Source organism: Homo sapiens, chromosome 18 (genome assembly GCF_000001405.40).
Source record: "Homo sapiens chromosome 18, GRCh38.p14 Primary Assembly".
In the NCBI taxonomy this organism is placed as follows: domain Eukaryota; kingdom Metazoa; phylum Chordata; class Mammalia; order Primates; family Hominidae; genus Homo; species Homo sapiens.
The window spans coordinates 9,121,174-9,137,875 of NC_000018.10; the positions used below are offsets into that span (position 1 = coordinate 9,121,174).

General features: G+C 40.4%; 2 protein-coding genes and 1 long non-coding RNA gene across 23 annotated transcripts in view, besides 7 other annotated features; 2 read left to right on the top strand and 1 right to left on the bottom strand.

Annotated features, from left to right (window-relative positions):
* Positions 1-13,168, top strand: part of NDUFV2 (NADH:ubiquinone oxidoreductase core subunit V2) — a 31,643-nt gene extending 18,475 nt beyond the window's left edge. For 2 of the 3 annotated variants that reach the window (NM_021074.5, XM_017025782.2), the window contains exons 5-8: positions 1,340-1,508; positions 3,701-3,810; positions 5,658-5,734; positions 13,013-13,168. In NM_021074.5, the coding sequence (NP_066552.2) occupies positions 1,340-1,508; positions 3,701-3,810; positions 5,658-5,734; positions 13,013-13,106 (450 nt within the window). In that variant the 3' untranslated portion in view covers positions 13,107-13,168. Of the gene's footprint in view, positions 1-1,339; positions 1,509-3,700; positions 3,824-5,657; positions 5,735-13,012 lie in introns of all 3 variants that reach the window. The other variant, XR_243808.4, reaches the window with a different exon arrangement.
* Positions 92-15,547, bottom strand: NDUFV2-AS1 (NDUFV2 antisense RNA 1). 2 transcript variants are annotated; one of them, NR_110771.1, is made up of 4 exons: positions 15,191-15,547; positions 12,218-12,337; positions 11,050-11,225; positions 92-283 (listed from the first exon to the last, which is right to left on the bottom strand). It is a non-coding gene; the product is annotated as an NDUFV2 antisense RNA 1 (long non-coding RNA). The 2 variants fall into 2 exon arrangements; NR_110772.1 differs by lacking the exon at positions 11,050-11,225.
* Positions 14,710-14,883: a silencer, noted in NCBI's record as "fragment chr18:9135881-9136054 (GRCh37/hg19 assembly coordinates)". NCBI's record gives its function as "represses an EF-1alpha promoter that drives an FKBP-Casp9 reporter gene in an ReSE screen in K562 erythroleukemia cells {active_cell/tissue: K562}" and the evidence as "EXISTENCE:reporter gene assay evidence [ECO:0000049][PMID:32094911]".
* Positions 14,886-14,975: a silencer, noted in NCBI's record as "silent region_9278". NCBI's record gives its function as "represses an Ori minimal core promoter by ATAC-STARR-seq in GM12878 lymphoblastoid cells {active_cell/tissue: GM12878}" and the evidence as "EXISTENCE:reporter gene assay evidence [ECO:0000049][PMID:35858748]".
* Positions 15,166-15,215: an enhancer, noted in NCBI's record as "active region_13071". NCBI's record gives its function as "activates an Ori minimal core promoter by ATAC-STARR-seq in GM12878 lymphoblastoid cells {active_cell/tissue: GM12878}" and the evidence as "EXISTENCE:reporter gene assay evidence [ECO:0000049][PMID:35858748]".
* Positions 15,326-15,675: a silencer, noted in NCBI's record as "silent region_9279". NCBI's record gives its function as "represses an Ori minimal core promoter by ATAC-STARR-seq in GM12878 lymphoblastoid cells {active_cell/tissue: GM12878}" and the evidence as "EXISTENCE:reporter gene assay evidence [ECO:0000049][PMID:35858748]".
* ANKRD12 (ankyrin repeat domain 12) overlaps positions 15,608-16,702 on the top strand; it is a 149,205-nt gene continuing 148,110 nt past the window's right edge. For 5 of the 18 annotated variants that reach the window (NM_015208.5, XM_005258095.4, NM_001083625.3 and 2 more), the window contains exon 1: positions 15,608-15,792. The gene's annotated coding sequence lies outside the window, so the exon portion shown is untranslated. Of the gene's footprint in view, positions 15,924-16,145; positions 16,701-16,702 lie in introns of those variants that run through there. The other 13 variants (XM_005258093.5, XM_017025661.3, XM_017025663.3 and 10 more) reach the window with 8 other exon arrangements.
* Positions 15,706-15,755: an enhancer, noted in NCBI's record as "active region_13072". NCBI's record gives its function as "activates an Ori minimal core promoter by ATAC-STARR-seq in GM12878 lymphoblastoid cells {active_cell/tissue: GM12878}" and the evidence as "EXISTENCE:reporter gene assay evidence [ECO:0000049][PMID:35858748]".
* Positions 15,886-16,285: a silencer, noted in NCBI's record as "silent region_9280". NCBI's record gives its function as "represses an Ori minimal core promoter by ATAC-STARR-seq in GM12878 lymphoblastoid cells {active_cell/tissue: GM12878}" and the evidence as "EXISTENCE:reporter gene assay evidence [ECO:0000049][PMID:35858748]".
* Positions 16,326-16,375: a silencer, noted in NCBI's record as "silent region_9281". NCBI's record gives its function as "represses an Ori minimal core promoter by ATAC-STARR-seq in GM12878 lymphoblastoid cells {active_cell/tissue: GM12878}" and the evidence as "EXISTENCE:reporter gene assay evidence [ECO:0000049][PMID:35858748]".

Genomic DNA, 16,702 nt, shown 5'->3' on the forward strand with positions numbered 1-16,702 from the left:
GATTCTTTGCACTTTACATTTGGGACTTTTATTTTAATGTTACTGCCCCTCCCCCCAACCCATGAAACACCTAACCTTACAACAAAAAATATCCAGAAGCTTAATAATTATTTATTTAACCGTCACTAAGGTGTAGGGAGATGTGCAGAATTCCAGGAAGGAGTCTTTTCCTAATTAGACAGTCAGAGCCTCATTCCAGATTTATTATTCCTTTGGTAGGGTTCCAGCATGTATATTTTGATAGAGAGCTCCCCAGATTCAGGGATACGTCCTTGATTCAGAACTGCCGAATGAAATAGCACAATTACTTTATCTGTCACAAGTGAGCCATGATTAGATGTCTTTTGAGAATATATTTCCTTTAGAATTCCTAATATGAGAAAGTTAACATACTTGTCTGAAATGCCCGCTCTTCTTTTATATTAGAATATGGATATATCTATAATTTTTAAGAATGCCAGATAGTAAGTCTTAATGATAATAGGTCACCTAGAAAGTTGTAGACAGAATTATAAATCACGATAGACAAGGACCAGCCCTGGCAAACAGCTAGAAATCCTCGTTTTCCCTAACAGACTTGCCCTAAGAAAAGATGCTGAGTTAGTGATCCCCTTAGTCCTGAACACCAGAATGTCAAAACAATTGTTTTCTATTAATGTCTTGACGTGAAGGGTTAGAAAGTACTAGACTATATGATTCAACTTTCAAAAGAGTATTGTGATATGAAATAGAAGTAGTGTGCTGGATTCTGGGAGAGGAGTGTGTGATTGTGTATGATAATATGTGTATACATATATGTAGAGATATAAAATTTTGAGTTTACATATTTAAAATATGGGCCAATAGTGAGCTTTGATTTTCAACCTTTTTTTCTGTTGCTGTACCATTTGTATGTAGGCTGTTTGGAAAAAATTGGTGAGAGTTTAAAAAATCTAATTGCTTCTTTTATTGGGGTTTGGCCATCAATTTTTTGCCATTTAGACAGATTATAAAATGTGAGTTGACATGATCAAAGTAGAAATTCTTAATAGTGAAATACTTAAAGATTTAGAGAAAAAGAATATCCTTTTACAGAGGTGAGAAGTAGGGTAGAAGGAGGAAGTGCTGTTAACTCCATTAACTTTCGGGCTCTGTATGGTTTAAGTGTAAGTACATTGTCTGCAAAAATTGAAGAGTTTATATCTCCCAGTTATCCAAGACAAGTATGTTTTCTGCTCTTGAAGAACTTTTCTGTTTTTACCAAATTGAGACAATATTGAAATTATACTTTGTACAACATAATTAAAGCTCCATTACTAACACTGTAATTATCTTATTTTTAAATGTCCTAATATTTTAGGTTGCAGAAGTTTTACAAGTACCTCCAATGAGAGTATATGAAGTAGCAACTTTTTATACAATGTATAATCGAAAGCCAGTTGGAAAGTATCACATTCAGGTCTGCACTACTACACCCTGCATGCTTCGAAACTCTGACAGCATACTGGAGGCCATTCAGAAAAAGCTTGGTAGGGAATACATGATATTTGTAACACTGATAAAAAGTAGAATTGTCTCTCTAGATTTGGTACATTTCTATCTAAAATTTCCAACTTCTGCCATCTTATTGGATCTGTACTTACCTAGTAATATTTTGTGTTACTGTGTTTCCACATCTTTATTTCTTCCTATTTGGTATTCTTCCTCAGTTCTTAGTGTTAAAGCTGAGTTTTTAATTTTTTCTTTTTTAATCAGTATGTTTGAAATGCTTGTAGAAGTTATAAAATATTCGTTGTTTAGAAGATTGTTTCACTTAGAAAATTGTTTCACTTACTATTCTATGACAGCATGTGGTATATTAAAAAGTGACCCATTATTGTCTTTATATTCTTCTAAAGAAGTCATGGAACAAATAAGATACAAGCATAGTAAGAATGCTTTGGGAAGGGAAATTTGAAACAGATGTTATTACAGTAGCATTTGAAAAGTAAATTAGCATTTTAAAAGTAAATGGGCATTTTCCCCTACAAAACTGCCATTGCTACACTTCTAACTATATATGTCAAATGAAGTAATATTTTGTTATTGAATATAATATGTGCATGTTGTAAAAATAGCTGGGTGGTATTGAAATATATAAAACAGCTGAAGTTGGCTCAAACCCCCCCACCCCCAACACCATCAAGGTATAAATCCTGATAACAATTGGATATATTAGTTGTAGATTTTATATCATTTTAATTATTAAATATATAAATGTACTACATGTATGCTTGCTTTTTAGACTTTATTTTGGCTGTATTTCTACAGCACAATATATATGTCTGCCTCATTTTTTTTTTCTGTTTTTTTGAGTTGAGGTCTCACTTTGTCACCAGGCTGGAATGCAGTGGCTGGATCATGGCTCACTGCAGCCTCCAATTCCTGGGCTCAAGTGATCTTCTGCCTCACCCTTCCAAGTAGCTGTAGCTATGGGTGCATGCTGCCAAGCCCAGCTAATTGATTTTTGTTTGTTTTTGTAGAGAGGGGTCTTGCTATGTTGCCCAGGCTGGTGGTTGTGAAATCCTGGCCTCAAGCAATCCTCCTACCTTGGCCTCCCAAGTGCTGGGATCACAGGTGTGAGCCACCATGCTTGGCCTGCCTCATTTTTCTTTTACAAACAGTTACTTTGATGTACACACACATCTTTGCGTACTTGTCCTGTTGTATGCTGAGATAGTTTACAAGAAGTAGAATTGTAGGGTCAGACTTTACCGTATTTTTCCCAAATGCCTTCCCTAAATGTATGAGACTACCCATTTTCTTCACATCCCTTGATAATCTTTGACGTTAGGAGTTTTCTGAGTCTTTGCCAAATCTGATAATGTGACTGTGATTTTAGTAGTTTAATTATTACAATCAAAATGAAAATAATACAGCCTGATGCACTGCTGTATAACAGTAAACACTGGTGATAAGTCCTCTGAAATTTGATTGCTTTTAAAGGAACAAGTCCACTAAAAACTTCCTTGAATGTTAAAATTACATAGAGTTTTTTTTTTGTTTTTTTTTTTTGAGAGAGTCTTGCTCTGTCACCCAGGCTGGAGTACAGTAGCACAATCATGACTACTGTAAAAAATTTTTACTACTGTAAAAAAATTTTTAATTTTTTTGTAGAGCTGTGTCTCCCTATGTTGCCCAGACTGGTCTCAAATTCCTGGGCTCAAGCCATCCTCGCACCACGGCCTCCCAAGGTGCTGGGATTATAGGACGGAGCCACTCCACCTGGCCTAGGATTTTTTTCTTTTTAAAAAACTTTTTTTTTTTTTTTTTTGGAGATGGAGTCTTGCTCTGTTGCCCAGGCTGGAGTGCAGTGGCGCAATCTCGGCTCACTGCAAGCTCCGCCTCCTGGGTTCACGCCACTCTCCTGCCTCAGCCTCCCGAGTAGGTGGCACTACAGGTGCCCGCCACCACACCTGGCTAATTTTTTGTATTTTTAGTAGAGACGGGGTTTCACCATGTTAGCCAGGATGGTCTAGATCTCCTGACCTCGTGATCTGCCCACCCCAGCCTCCCAAAGTGCTGGGATTACAGGCGTGAGCCACCGCGCCTGGCCTCTTTTTAAAAAACTTAATAGTCTTAAACTTTTAATATACCTCTATAAAAATTCTTTTTTTTTTTTTTAAACCAAATGACTATTAAAATATAACCTGGTCCTTAGAGTGTTTATTTGTATTTTTAGGAATAAAGGTTGGGGAGACTACACCTGACAAACTTTTCACTCTTATAGAAGTGGAATGTTTAGGGGCCTGTGTGAACGCACCAATGGTTCAAATAAATGACAATTACTATGTGAGTATTTCAGGTAATACAAGTTAAAGTTGTATGATGTCATATTTAAAACATTTTAAATATTTGATTTTGTGTCCTTAGATGTTGGTTTCTGAATTACTCATTTAGAAGAAATGGTTACCATAAATATCCAGGTTTTAAAAAATTCTTTAAACATTTTTGCATTTAACTTCAGAAGACAAATTTTAAAACTTTAGATTATGAAAAATTTAATAATTTGGATATTAATACAGAAAATAATCCTAGTGTAGCCAACTATCAGGACTTAACTGAGAGTAATATTTTGCCACATTTTACTTCAGATACTATCATCATCATCATCATTTGTAGAAATAAGCTACAGATACAGGTGAAATACTCCATCCCAAATCTTTTTCTCTTCCTTTTATCCCCAGAGATAACCATTATCATAAATTGTGTCTATATATGTATGCAGCTATACTAATATGTTGTATGGCTTTTTAAAAAAATTTTATAGAGATGGTATCATACCTCTAAGTACTGCAGCTGGATCTCACAAGTTTTGCAGTCTTTTTTGTTTTTGATTGAGCGTTTCTGTTTTTTTTTTGTTTTTCATTTTGATTTCTTTGACCTGTAAGTTTCTAAAAATGTTCTTAATATCCATATATATGGCGTTTTCTAGTTATTTCTTTAAAAATTGCTTGCTACCCTAATTATATCACCGTTTTCATTCAAGATACCTTGTTAGCTCATATTTCTTAGAAATTTGTTTATGGAAATTTTGGAGGGACTGTACTTAAGGTAGATTTTCTTTTAAGAAGGGATTTGCTTTGTTTCTCTCCTGCTCCTGGCAGTACTGCTGGCCCCAGAAAAGCCCCTCTCCTTATACCCTAGGCCTCTGTTCCTCCGGTGTGAAAGGTTCCAGACTAGCAGTTTTCTTTGAGGGACAGTTTACTCTTATAATGAGGTTAAAGCTTTTGGGGACCTTAACTTTGTGTAGCTTACATGGTCTCTTGTTAGACTCTCTGGGGCTGGCTGGGTCCCTTGCCCCTCTAAGCTTTGAAACTCTGAAGCAAAGTTTGCTTGATGTTCCACTTTCTTTCTTTGGTTTTCCTTGAGAATTTGGCGTCTGGGTACTTATTTCTTGATTTAAATAGGAATTAGACAGTCAAGGCTTTGTGTGAAGCATTGTTAAGTCTAAATATAGTAGCCTGTAGATGGGTTTGTTTGAGATAGGTATTCTTTCAGTTAGCAGTAGTTAGATCTTTAGGGATAGATACTAGGCATCTACTTAACAAGTTACTACAGCTACTTTGTACCTTACTGTTTCTTCAGTAATACAGCATTTATTTAGTATGTACGTTGACACTGTTCTACTTTATATATTTTCTCATTAATCCTCAAAAACGTGCTGAATTAGGTTTACAAATAAACAAACAAACTTGGGGAGGCTGGGTAACTTGTCCAAGATTACTAGCTAGTAAGTGATAGAGCCAGAACTCAAATGCAAATATGTTTCAATTCAGAGCAATATTCTGTATTGCCTCTTCAGCTGCAGGCTCTTGTTGCATATTATATTTAGCAGTGTGTACTATATATAGGAGTTACTTAATTGTTGATGCCTTGGTAACTATCTTGTGAGCTGAGACAGACAATAAAATCACTGGCATTAGGGATTTACAGATTTCAGCCGTAGAAAGTAATTTTGTGCCATGCGTGGTGGTTCATACCTGTAATCCCAGCACTTTGGGAGGCTGAGGTAGGAGGATTGCTTAAGCCCAGGAGTTGGAGACCAGCCTGGGCAACATAGTGAGACCTTGTCTCTATAAATATATCGATATAAAAGAAAGTAATTTAAATATGACTATTGTTAATTTTTTTTCCAGGAGGATTTGACAGCTAAGGATATTGAAGAAATTATTGATGAGCTCAAGGCTGGCAAAATCCCAAAACCAGGGCCAAGGTATGCTTTATTTATATATAGGAAGTTTTAGTGGCTCACCTAAATTAATCTTTCAGATAAACTTGATTTAAAAAATTTTATACCTTAAGTTCATAGGAATTGGTAGGAGCTTTGGATAGTATTATCTATATGAATCTCATCTAGAGCAAGAATAATTTTTTTTCTAAAACCCTGTCTGATAATCATCCGATACCTGAATATTTATAGAGAAGGAAATTTTACTACAAATAGAAATCTATTCCATTATTTAAAAGTTCATACTGATAGAAGATTGACCCAAAGACCATCTCCCTCTAATTTCTACCTAAAAATCCAATTCTGCCCTTTGAATCAACAAAAGATAATTTTAGTACCTCTTCCAAATGACAGCTCTTCAATTACTTGAAATAGCTACCCTGTCTTCCCCTTATCTTTTTCTCAGATGGAATATCCACAATTGTTTCATTGTTTTTCTCATATGACATAGCTTTGGTCTCCCTCTGTGGGTTTTCTAGTTGGCTAGTGACTATTTAATGCTTTAATGTGATGCTTAAACTAATCATGGTTTTTTGTCTTTTTTATTTATTTATATTTTGAGACGGAGTCTCACTCCGTCACCCAGTCTGGAGTACAGTGGCGCAGTGGCACAATCTCAGCTCAGTGCAAGCTCCACCTCCCAGGTAGAAGTGATTCCCCTGTCTCAGCCTCCCGAGTAGCTGGGATTACAGGTGCCAGCCACCACGCCCGGCTAATTTTTTGTATTTTTAGTAGTGACGGGGTTTCACTGTATTAGCCAGGATGGTCTCCGATCTCCTGACCTCGTGATCTGCCCGCTTCAGACTCCCAAAGTGCTGGGATTACAGGCATGAGCCACTGTGCCCGGCCTAATCATGGTATTTTGAGATACATACTGAGCAGCACAGAGCATTGTGGGACTGCCTCCTTTGTTCCAGACATTATGCTTGTAATAATTGTGCCTAATTATATCAACTCCTACTTCAGAGACATTACACAATTAACTGCACTTCATAATACCTAGATCTTTTTCTGTTCACTATTTATCCAGGTTGCTCCCGTCCCATACCTGTGTTACATTAATTACTTTCCTTTCAGTTATGAACTTGGATTTTCACTTTTAAACAAACCCTTATTCCATGTATGTGTTCAATCACTCAAAATTCTCTCTTAATACTAGCAAATGTTCTCATGGTTTTAGTCATAATCCCTCAAATTTTTTGTTTATGTATATAAATTTTTTCTTCCCTCAGCACATTTGGAGTTTTTGATGTCCATACGGTATTCTAATGTTTTAAAACAGCTGTGATGTGCTCTTACTCCCGTTTTAAAATATTTTTCTTAAGCTTTATTATAAATAACAATTCCCTGAAGTAGAATTACTAAGAGGGTATGAGTGGTTCTAGAGTTTGCTCTCTAAAACTACTAATAATACCCTACTTAATGAGAAAATGAGGTCAGTTCAGGATAACTTAAGTTTAGTAAATGCTAGCTGGCCCCTGTTGACCATTACTTTCTTTTCTAAGAAACGTATACTGTTCTTAACAACCTGAGCCTATAGAATTGAATTTGCTTAAAGAGTGTTGGCATTTTCTTCCTAATTCCTCACTTTCTTGGGTATACCCCTTTTTTTAGGAGGTAAATCATTTCCCTGGTGAAAAATCATTCTCCTTTATGGAGGCAACTGAAGTAAAACCTTTAGTCATCTATCATTACAGTATCTTTCTTAGCTAGTGCTCCTATCCCTTACTTATTCTTGCTTTAAATAGACACTGTCCCCCCAAAAAGTACAAATTTCATAATATTTTCCACAAGCTTCATCTGCTTTTTAGGATTCAGGTATTTTAAAATAAATTCATGCTATTCTTAGGTTTGTACTTCAGCCCATAACTTCTTTCACCTTTTGGGTACTCTAAAGAATATCTCAAGTGCAGATTTCCTTGTGAAATCCACTTGGGTTCTTTAGATGGCCCCTCTCTTCTGATTAGATGTTTTGAATTCTATAGTCATAACTTTGGTGTTGGGCTTCCTCCCCCCCACTCCTCCCCTCACCCGAGATGGAGTCTTGCTCTGTCACTTAGGCTATAGTGCAGTGGTGTGATCTCGACTCACTGCAACTTCTGCCTCCCAGGCTCAAGCGATTCTCCTGCCTCAGTCTCCCGAGCAGCTGGGACTATAAGAACGTGCCACCACCATGCCCAGCTAATTTTTGTATTTTTAGTAGAGACGGGGTTTTACCATGTTGGCCAGGGTGGTCTCGAACTCCTGACCTCAAGTGATCTGCCTGCCTTGGCCTCCCAAAGTGCTGGGATTACAGGCTTGAGCCACCACGCCCGGCCACTTTGGCGTTTAGAATCTTCTGCTTTGCTTCTTGTGAACTGTGGGATCTATGGTTCATATTAATCTAGTATTACTCTCCTGCCACACAAATTGATACCTGCTTTGTCTACTTTGTTATGTCACATTACATTAAATACTCAACAGTAATTTTTTTCACAAATTTTTTTGAGTGCCTGCTGTGTGTCAGGCATTATTTTAGGTTATGAATACAATTATGAACAAGATAAAGTTCTCATATATCTTCTAGTGATGGAGACAGATGACTAGTGTAATATGTGAGTGATAAAAAGGCTACACAATAAAATGTAGCAGGTGTTAGGGGATAGATAGGGAGTAAATTTAGTGAGGAGAGGCCGCTTAGAGGTGGTAACATTTGAGCCATGACCTGAATGAAGAGCTAGAGGGAACCATGTAAAGAGCTGAAGGAACAATGTTCCAGGGAGGGGAAAGAGGATGTATCAGGGTCCTGGAAGAAAAGTAAGGTAACAGTATGGCTGCAGTGAGGTGCTCAAGCAAGAAAGCAGTGGAAGGGGTCAGAGGAGATAAGGGCCCAGATAAGTAATCTGGGCTGAATCTTAAATATAATAAAAACTGTTGGAATGTTTTCAGTAGGGAATGGAATGAGCAATCTTAAAATACTGCCATAGTTGCTATGTGGAGATTAGAATTTAGTAGATATGTGGGACTAAGGATTTATGAGTGATTTTCAGCTTTTTGGCTTGAGCATCTCTGAGGTTCCTTTACCGAAAATAGAGAAGATTTGTGGTAGGGCAAGTTTGGGGAAGAAAAGTCAAATTTTGTTTTAGACATAGTAAGTTTGAGATGCCTGTTAAGACATCCATGGTATGATGCTGATAGGTAGATACGAACCTGGAATATAGGGAATAGGTTAGGGCTGGAAACACAAATTGGGGATTCATCAGTTACTAAGGGTAGTATTTAAAGTTATAAATCTGGATGACATTATCGGGGTGAAATTAAAATCTGTTATTTGTAATATGAGGTACTATAACATTGTATTTTAACAATAAGCAGGAACTAAGTACTCAGTTAAGCATTTTCAACAACATCTGATAATAATAGGGATGTTACTTATCAGTAATCATGAATAGTTTTTCGCTGAGATTTTCTTGACAGTGTTCTGGATTTGAGCCAAATACTTCAAAATTATTCGTGTCCGAATCTCTTTTTTTACTTACTACCTCTTATTTAAAAAGCAGACAAAAGTCTACTTAGGTTTCAATAATTGCAAGCATCCACCAATGCTGTATTATATAAAGCTTGTATTTGGACATAGCAATACTAGAATGTCTTGTCAGCATATGAAAACAAGAACTTTTCACTTTACTTACCCAATATCTTGGATATATAGGATAATGACAGAGACTGGGATAGCAATAACCATAATATAGTTATAGTTATTCTAAATTAACCAAAGCTGTCTAATTCTTTTTTATTGGTATTTTAATAATAAATATCTCTGCTCTTTGAAAGAGGTACTAATTGTGCGTCTCTGTAATGAAAAACCGAGAGGAATTAAACTGGTTCAATAGTAACTGATTCCTGAGTACCACTGCCAGGTCTTACCCTGGCCAAAATTAGTAAAAGACTGATGTCTATATGTGGTTCAAAACTGCTTTTGTATTATCGTTGGTGAATGACCACTGAAAATATTAAAGCAGTGGTAAGATAATACAGTTGACTCTTGAACACCATGGGCGTTAGGGACATTGATTGCTCATGCAGTTGAAGATCTGTGTGTAACTTTTGACTCCTCCAAAACTTTACTCATAGCCTGCAGTTGTCTGAAGGCCTTAACAAATAACATAGTCAGCACATATTTTGCATGTTGTCTGTATTATATACTGACTGTATTCTTACCATAATCTAGAGAAAAGAAAATGTTATTAAAATCATAATGAAAATATATTTACTCTTCATTAAGTGGATCATAGTACAAGTCTTATCATTTTCATGTTGTATAGGCTGAGGAAGAGGAGGGGTTGGCCTTGCTGTCTCAGAGGTGGCAGAGGCTGAAGAAAATCCATGTACAAGTGAACCCATGCAGTTCAAACCTGTGTTGTTCAGGGTCAGCTGTAGTCTCTTAATCTTGACATTACTAAATATTTTTGTGCTGAGATTGTTCTTATTTTCAGTGAATTTAAAGTACTGAAAAATTCTAAACTTGTTTTCAGGTTACTAATAGGTAGAAATTTTTTAGTATGGATTAGTTTATAACTCATTTTAAATCCAACTTTAATTCTTCATATTTAGAGCTAGGCTACAGTTCCAATGCGGTTGGTAGATGACTCTAGACAATAACATCACTTTTGGTTTTTTATACTAAAAGTAGGGACAGTGCTGGATATATCTCAGCAATAGTAAAAAGCACTAAACTTTTATAAAGTAATTTGTCTATGTAAAGTACTTTAAGCCATGAAAGTTTACAGAAAGGCCAAGTTTTCTAGAAAGCAAATAAGTTAAAATGGTACACATACGTATAGTGTTGGAATGACTGACGAACCATACTTTTTAAATTTTAGTGAAGATGTAATTATTAGATGGCATTTTAAGCATGAGATATCAGGAAAATCATTTTTTGTTTAGTAAGTGAAAAACACTAGTGTAAATTGTGGCTGTCAGGTGAGTGGATAGGGCTAGCTCACTGCCTCTTGAGTGTTCTGAGGCATGTTTACAGATGAAAGGGGGGGTTACATTTTTAGTAGATTAAACAAAATTATAGGCTTTATTGGAGGATTTTTGTAGCCTTTGTAGTATTTTAAGGTACACTGTGTGAATGGCGAGGAAGGGAGGTTTACAGCCAGACATACTGGATCACTGGGACTCCCGTTTTTCTATACAATGCCATGGGATTGTAATTTTATGGAACAAACTTTAGGAAACTCTAGACCAGATTATTTTTAAAATTACTTCCATATATAAAATTCTATAATCCTGTGAAGAACTCAGGAAGTACTTACGATTAATTCTCCCATTTATTGTTCCGGAAACTTCAGTTTTTATAATCTTCCTAAATTGATCCTTTATGTTGATAAACAGTGTCGATATTAAGGAGCTCATTAATTTTGGAAGATCCATATCTATCCAAACTGGTAAGAGGCTTTAAGATAACAAATGCTCAGCTTTCAGGAGACGTCTAAAATGAAACTTTTAAATCATATTCCATTCTGATATTTGATCAAGAGAAAAGTTTTAGGCAGAAAAGAAGAGGTAGCTGAGCTTAAACCGTAAGAAGAAACCTAGTAAAGGTGAAGAAAGTTTCTCCAAAATAATTTCATTGACATTTAAAGAGCAGCAGTGGTGCCTATCAATAGGCAACATAAAAAATTACAGGCCGGGCACAGTGGCTCACCTGTAATCCCAGCACTTTGGGAGGTTGAGGCGGACAGATTGTTTGAGCCCACAAATTCAAGACCAGCCAGGGCAACATGGTGAGGTCTTGTCTCTACGAAAAATACAAAAATTAGCCAGGCATGGTGACGCACACCTGTAGTCCCAGCTACGTGGGAGGCTGAGGTGACAGAAGCACCTGAGCCTGGGAGGTTAAGACTGCAGTGAGCCATTATTGCATCACTGCATCCCAGCCTGGGTGACAAAGTGGGACCCTGTCTCAAAAATAATAAATAAATTTAAAAATTGCAAAATATAATACTGTTGTCTTTTTTTTAAAGTTAAGTATCATTTTGCTGCTTACTCTACAAGTTTCAGGCTCTTACAGTATACAATGACTGCTTTTTTATCTGTTTTTGTAGTGAACAAGACCTATAATCCAAAGATATTAACTAAGTTCTGACTTTGTAGATAATTGTTCATTACTTAGTAACTTGTATTATATGCTGTGACATCTTGAAAGATCTTATATTATGTGGTGTCACTTTCCTGGCTCCAATAAAAAATGATTCCCTAGGGCTCTAAAGAACAGACTTAAAGGATTGATGACACAATGTGAAGGGCAAAGCCAGAGGGGGTTGAAAAGATATAAACTGAACAAGTTCTTTCTTTAGGTAAATCTGTGGCAGGAACAGGTAAATTAGCAAAGCCAGGGAATAGTGGTGGAGGGGTGACATACAGTAAGTCTGAGCTGGGCTCTAGAAACAGAGGTCAGACAGGGCAGAGGTGAGCAATTACCTGGGAAAGCGTGTGTGGGGTTGACAGACAGGTTCTTCTCCCTCTATGCTGCCTGTCTTCATAAATTGCTCCATCAGGACTTGTTCTTGTTTGCTTCCTTTTGTGGCTGCTATGGCCATCCTGGTTTGGAAACTTTTTTCAGAAAATTACTACTACTAATATAGTCTTTATAATACATAAATACAAACTGATTTTGACTTCGCTGCTTCTAAGGGACATTGTCCCAAATCATATTTCCTCAAGGAATCCAGTTTCTATTTCCAAATACAATGTATAAGTGTGTGTATTCCCTCTATTCACTGTGACTGTGGATCTTGATCTAAATAAAATTCAACTCTAAAAAGAAATACAGTGCTCTAGTTTATTAAAACATGGTTTTTAAAAATGTTCTCTGGGGTTGGGTATTTTTGCCGTAGTTCTTTGCTTTGATTCTTGGGTAGATGCTGAATCTCCCAAATTTGGTTTCTCTAACTGTAAAATAAAGCCAGTATCACTTGTCTTGTGGCATCGTAAGGATTCAATGAGCTAGTGTATGCATACTGCTCAGTAAATAGGAACTATTATTAGGGCTACTTTTGTATTTTTTATGTTTATGGTGAAGTCTGATGTTTTTCCATATTTAAATTTAGGAAGAGAAAATCTTGCATCAGTTGAAATGTTTGAATTAAATAATCTATGCTAGTTCTTAGGGTAAAAATAGTTACTTAACTGGGCTCTTGTGAGGTAACCATTACAATTTAAGTAAAAATTTACAAATGTTAATCATTAATAGTTTAATATTACTTTTCATTTCAGGAGTGGACGCTTCTCTTGTGAGCCAGCTGGAGGTCTTACCTCTTTGACTGAACCACCCAAGGGACCTGGATTTGGTGTACAAGCAGGCCTTTAATTTATATTGAACTGTAAATATGTCACTAGAGAAATAAAATATGGACTTCCAATCTACGTAAACTTATTTGTTTATTCTGCTCTGTGTACATCCTCATGCTAACCGTAGCAACTTGCAGCTCTAAGTATTATGTCATAATGACAGAGGACCATTTTAAAGTCTTCTATCTATGGCTGTGAAGACATCATTATATAATCTAGTTAACAGTTACTCTAGTGTCACCCATTTTCAATTTCCAGATCGCTTTTATCAAGATCAGGTTACTGTGAAGTAAAAATTTGGTTAAATTACAAATGTTTTGCTTTCCCATCTTTAGCCACAGCCAAGTTTTAAGTTAACATGATCTTTCTATAAACTTTGTCAGTGCTCCCTTTAAACATTATTTAAAACACATAATTGTTACTGTATTTCCAACTGGTAAGACCTCAAGCACACTGTAGGTTTAAGGAGGATATGGTAGTTGTCTCTAGAAGCCTTTTTTTTTTTTTTTTTTTTTTTGAGACGGAGTCTCGCTGTCTCCCAAGCTGGAGTGCAGTGGTGGGATCTCGGCTCACTGCAAGCATTACAGGCGTGAGCCACCACGCCCGGCTTAAGCATTACCATTTTTAAAAAAGAAAGGTCCAAAACACTTGACATTATCCTTAGCTATTCTGACACTGCAAGTATACAAAAAATAATTGGGTGAAGGGATTGGAAGTATGATTATGTACTCTGCAGTGGTATGGATATTACAACTTAGAAAAAAGGATAAACCCTTTTGTGTATTTAAGAAATTAGCTGTAGTACATTAGTTTTGCATTAGCCAGCTTTAATGCATGAATAATTTATATTAATCTAATCCTCGATTTCTCAAAGTCACCTGTACTTGAAACAGACTATTCACTAGTAATTATGCTTTTTTTTTTTGAGACAGGCTGTGTCCCCAGGCTGGAGTGCAGTGGTGTGATCTTGGTTCACTGCAATACCCTGGCCTCAGCCTCCTGAGCAGCTGGGAGCACAGGCAGGCGCCACCAGCCTGGTTAATTTTCATATATTTTTTTAGAGACAGGGTCTTACTATGTTGCCTGGCTGGTCTCAAACTCCTGGGCTCAAGCCATCTGCCCGCCTGAGCCTCCCAAATTGCTGGGATTACAGGCGTGAGCCACTGCGCTCGGCTATAACGATTATTTTTAAGTATGTCTTTAAGATTTTTTTTTTAATTGAGAGAAGGTAAACAACAGTTAATTTTCCAAGTGGCACAAAAAAGTAACAATGAAAATGTCCTACCCTGGAGCTCTCCTGACTTTCTCATAGGCGACTGTTTTTTTCTTTGTATTTCACATCATAAATAACCAAGTTAAATGTAACACTATTCCACCTCTAGCCATAAGGTGCTCTTTTTCTAGTCTTGTTGACCCTAAAGATTTGTAGGTGGGAGAAATCAGGAACCCAGGAAAGGAAAAACTCCTGATCTTTAATGCAGGTTTATGCTTTACATAGTAATTTGATGGGACCTCGCCGTCCCTGTCAGGTCTGAATGTCACTTCATCTGCTGTGATCACACCTGAACCCTCAGTTCATCAAGACGTTAAAGGACAGTGTAACATAAACTTGTAACTGCATGCACTAAGTCATAAACAGACGCTGTTGTTGCAGATTAACCTCTACGTAAATAACGCGCCCAGAAGGGAGTGAGTACACGCTGCTGCCACGCTGCGACGGTCAATTTTCCTCCGGCACCCTTCCTAGTACCTGAGCAGCTCCCTCTCAAATCCCCAACACTACGTGTGGGAGGGTGCACTGAATTCCTCTTTAAAAAGGCCACTGGAAGGCGTGGCTGGGAGGGGACGCGCTCTAGACCCCCTGGTGCCAGGGCAGGTGCACGCTACCGCGCTTTCGGGGCGGGGCCCAGGGCCCCACCTGAGGCGGGGGGCCGCGGGCTCTGGGCGTAGGTGCAGCTTCTCCGGCCTGGTGCGGGGCCAGACGGCCGCCGCCGGCTTAGCGGGGGAACTTCGCCTAGTCCTCGGGCTGCGGTCGCAGCGTCATTTTGCCTGAGTTGGATCACGCTCGTCCACCCACCCCGTGTAAAAATAACAGGTGAATACCCTATGTGGGGGTCCTCATCGCCGCCATTTCCAGAAGCTTCCAGTCACAGCCACTGCCACGGTCGCCACAAATGCTACTGCAGAGCCCGCTTGCCCAGCAGCGTCACCGGCGCCTGCCCTGCCTCTTCGCCCAGCCTTTGATTCCCCCTCCTTTGTCGGATAGTGTCTGCGGCGGGGAGGCGGTGACACTAGTCCGAGTGGGGCGTGGAGACCGACCAGCACGAAGGGCGGAGTTCCGGCCCGCACCCCTCCGCCGCCTGCCGCTTGGTACGTCCCGCTTCCCCGCCCTGCGGCTCGCGGAGCCTGGCTGAGCAGCAGGAGGGGCGGGCGCCGGGGGGCGGGGCGGTCACGCCGCCCGTCCCGTGCCCGCGGTAGTCACGTGTCCGCGGGTGTCACGTGCTCGCGTCGCAGCCAATCGCGGGGCGACGCTGTCCTGGGAGCGAGGAGGCTGTGGTGAGAGACGGACCGAGACCGGAGATGTTTTCAAGCCCGGCTCCGGCGGCTTTACAGGCGGCTGCAGCGGCGACGAAGACAACGACAGCGACGGCTACGCCGAAGCACTCGTTCCGGGGGTGAAGCCTCCTGCGCCGGCCTTGCCTCGGGTCCGTACGGGTGAGGGGGGCGTGGCGACAGGAAAGGAGGAAGGAGGGGCGCGGTTTCGAGCTTGTCCCCGGCGCCAGGGAGGAGATCCCCTCAGTTCTGCGCTGCTCCCGTTCCCCCTCCCCAGAGCAAGGTAGGGGACGCGCCCTGCCCGCCCCCCCCGGTCCCGACGCGCCGCCCGCCCAGCCTGGCCCGAGCCGTAGCTCGCCTGACAGTGACAGGCCGTTAGTGCCCCCCGGCGCGGGTCCGCCGGGGCCCCGCCCGCCGCCGCCCCTCCCGGCGTCGCGAGGAGCCGCGGCGCAGGTGGGAGCCGCCAACTGGGCGGGGGCGCTGCGCGGGGCGGGGCGGGGGCCGGGCGGAGGGCCGCGAGCTGGCCTCGTCGCGGGCGCCCCTCACCGCGGCTGGCGGGGCTGGGCTGCCGCCGCCTCCCGGAACATGGCGGGGCCGGAGGAGCGTGTGCGTGCGAGTGTGAGTGTGCGCGGCCGAGAGGGCGCCGCTGGCGTGCGGCGGTCGGACCCGCGGGGGCGGGGGCGCGCCCGGCCCGCCGCGCGTTCCCGCCGCCAGCCGCCGAGCGTGCGCCGACGCCGGGGAGTCTGCCGCGGCCGCTCGGGCCGGGAGCGTCGGAGGTACCCGGGTCCTGGGAGAGGTGGATGAAATCAAGAAGGGGAAATTGCTGCTTTAGTAGTGTCCGGGGAAAGAGCAGCCACTCTACAGTTCTGTCTTAAATGCCAGTGTAAAATAACCTTGCCGCATTGGACAGGCAGTTCCCGTCATCGTTTTTCAAGTACCCACTTGTGATGCTTCAAGACCCCTGGAGCACGTCAGGTTCTTAGATCTCGTTTTGAGGAGTGATGTGGAGTGACGCATCCTTACAGATCCCAAAGCGTTGAATAAACGGTTGTACAAAGAGGT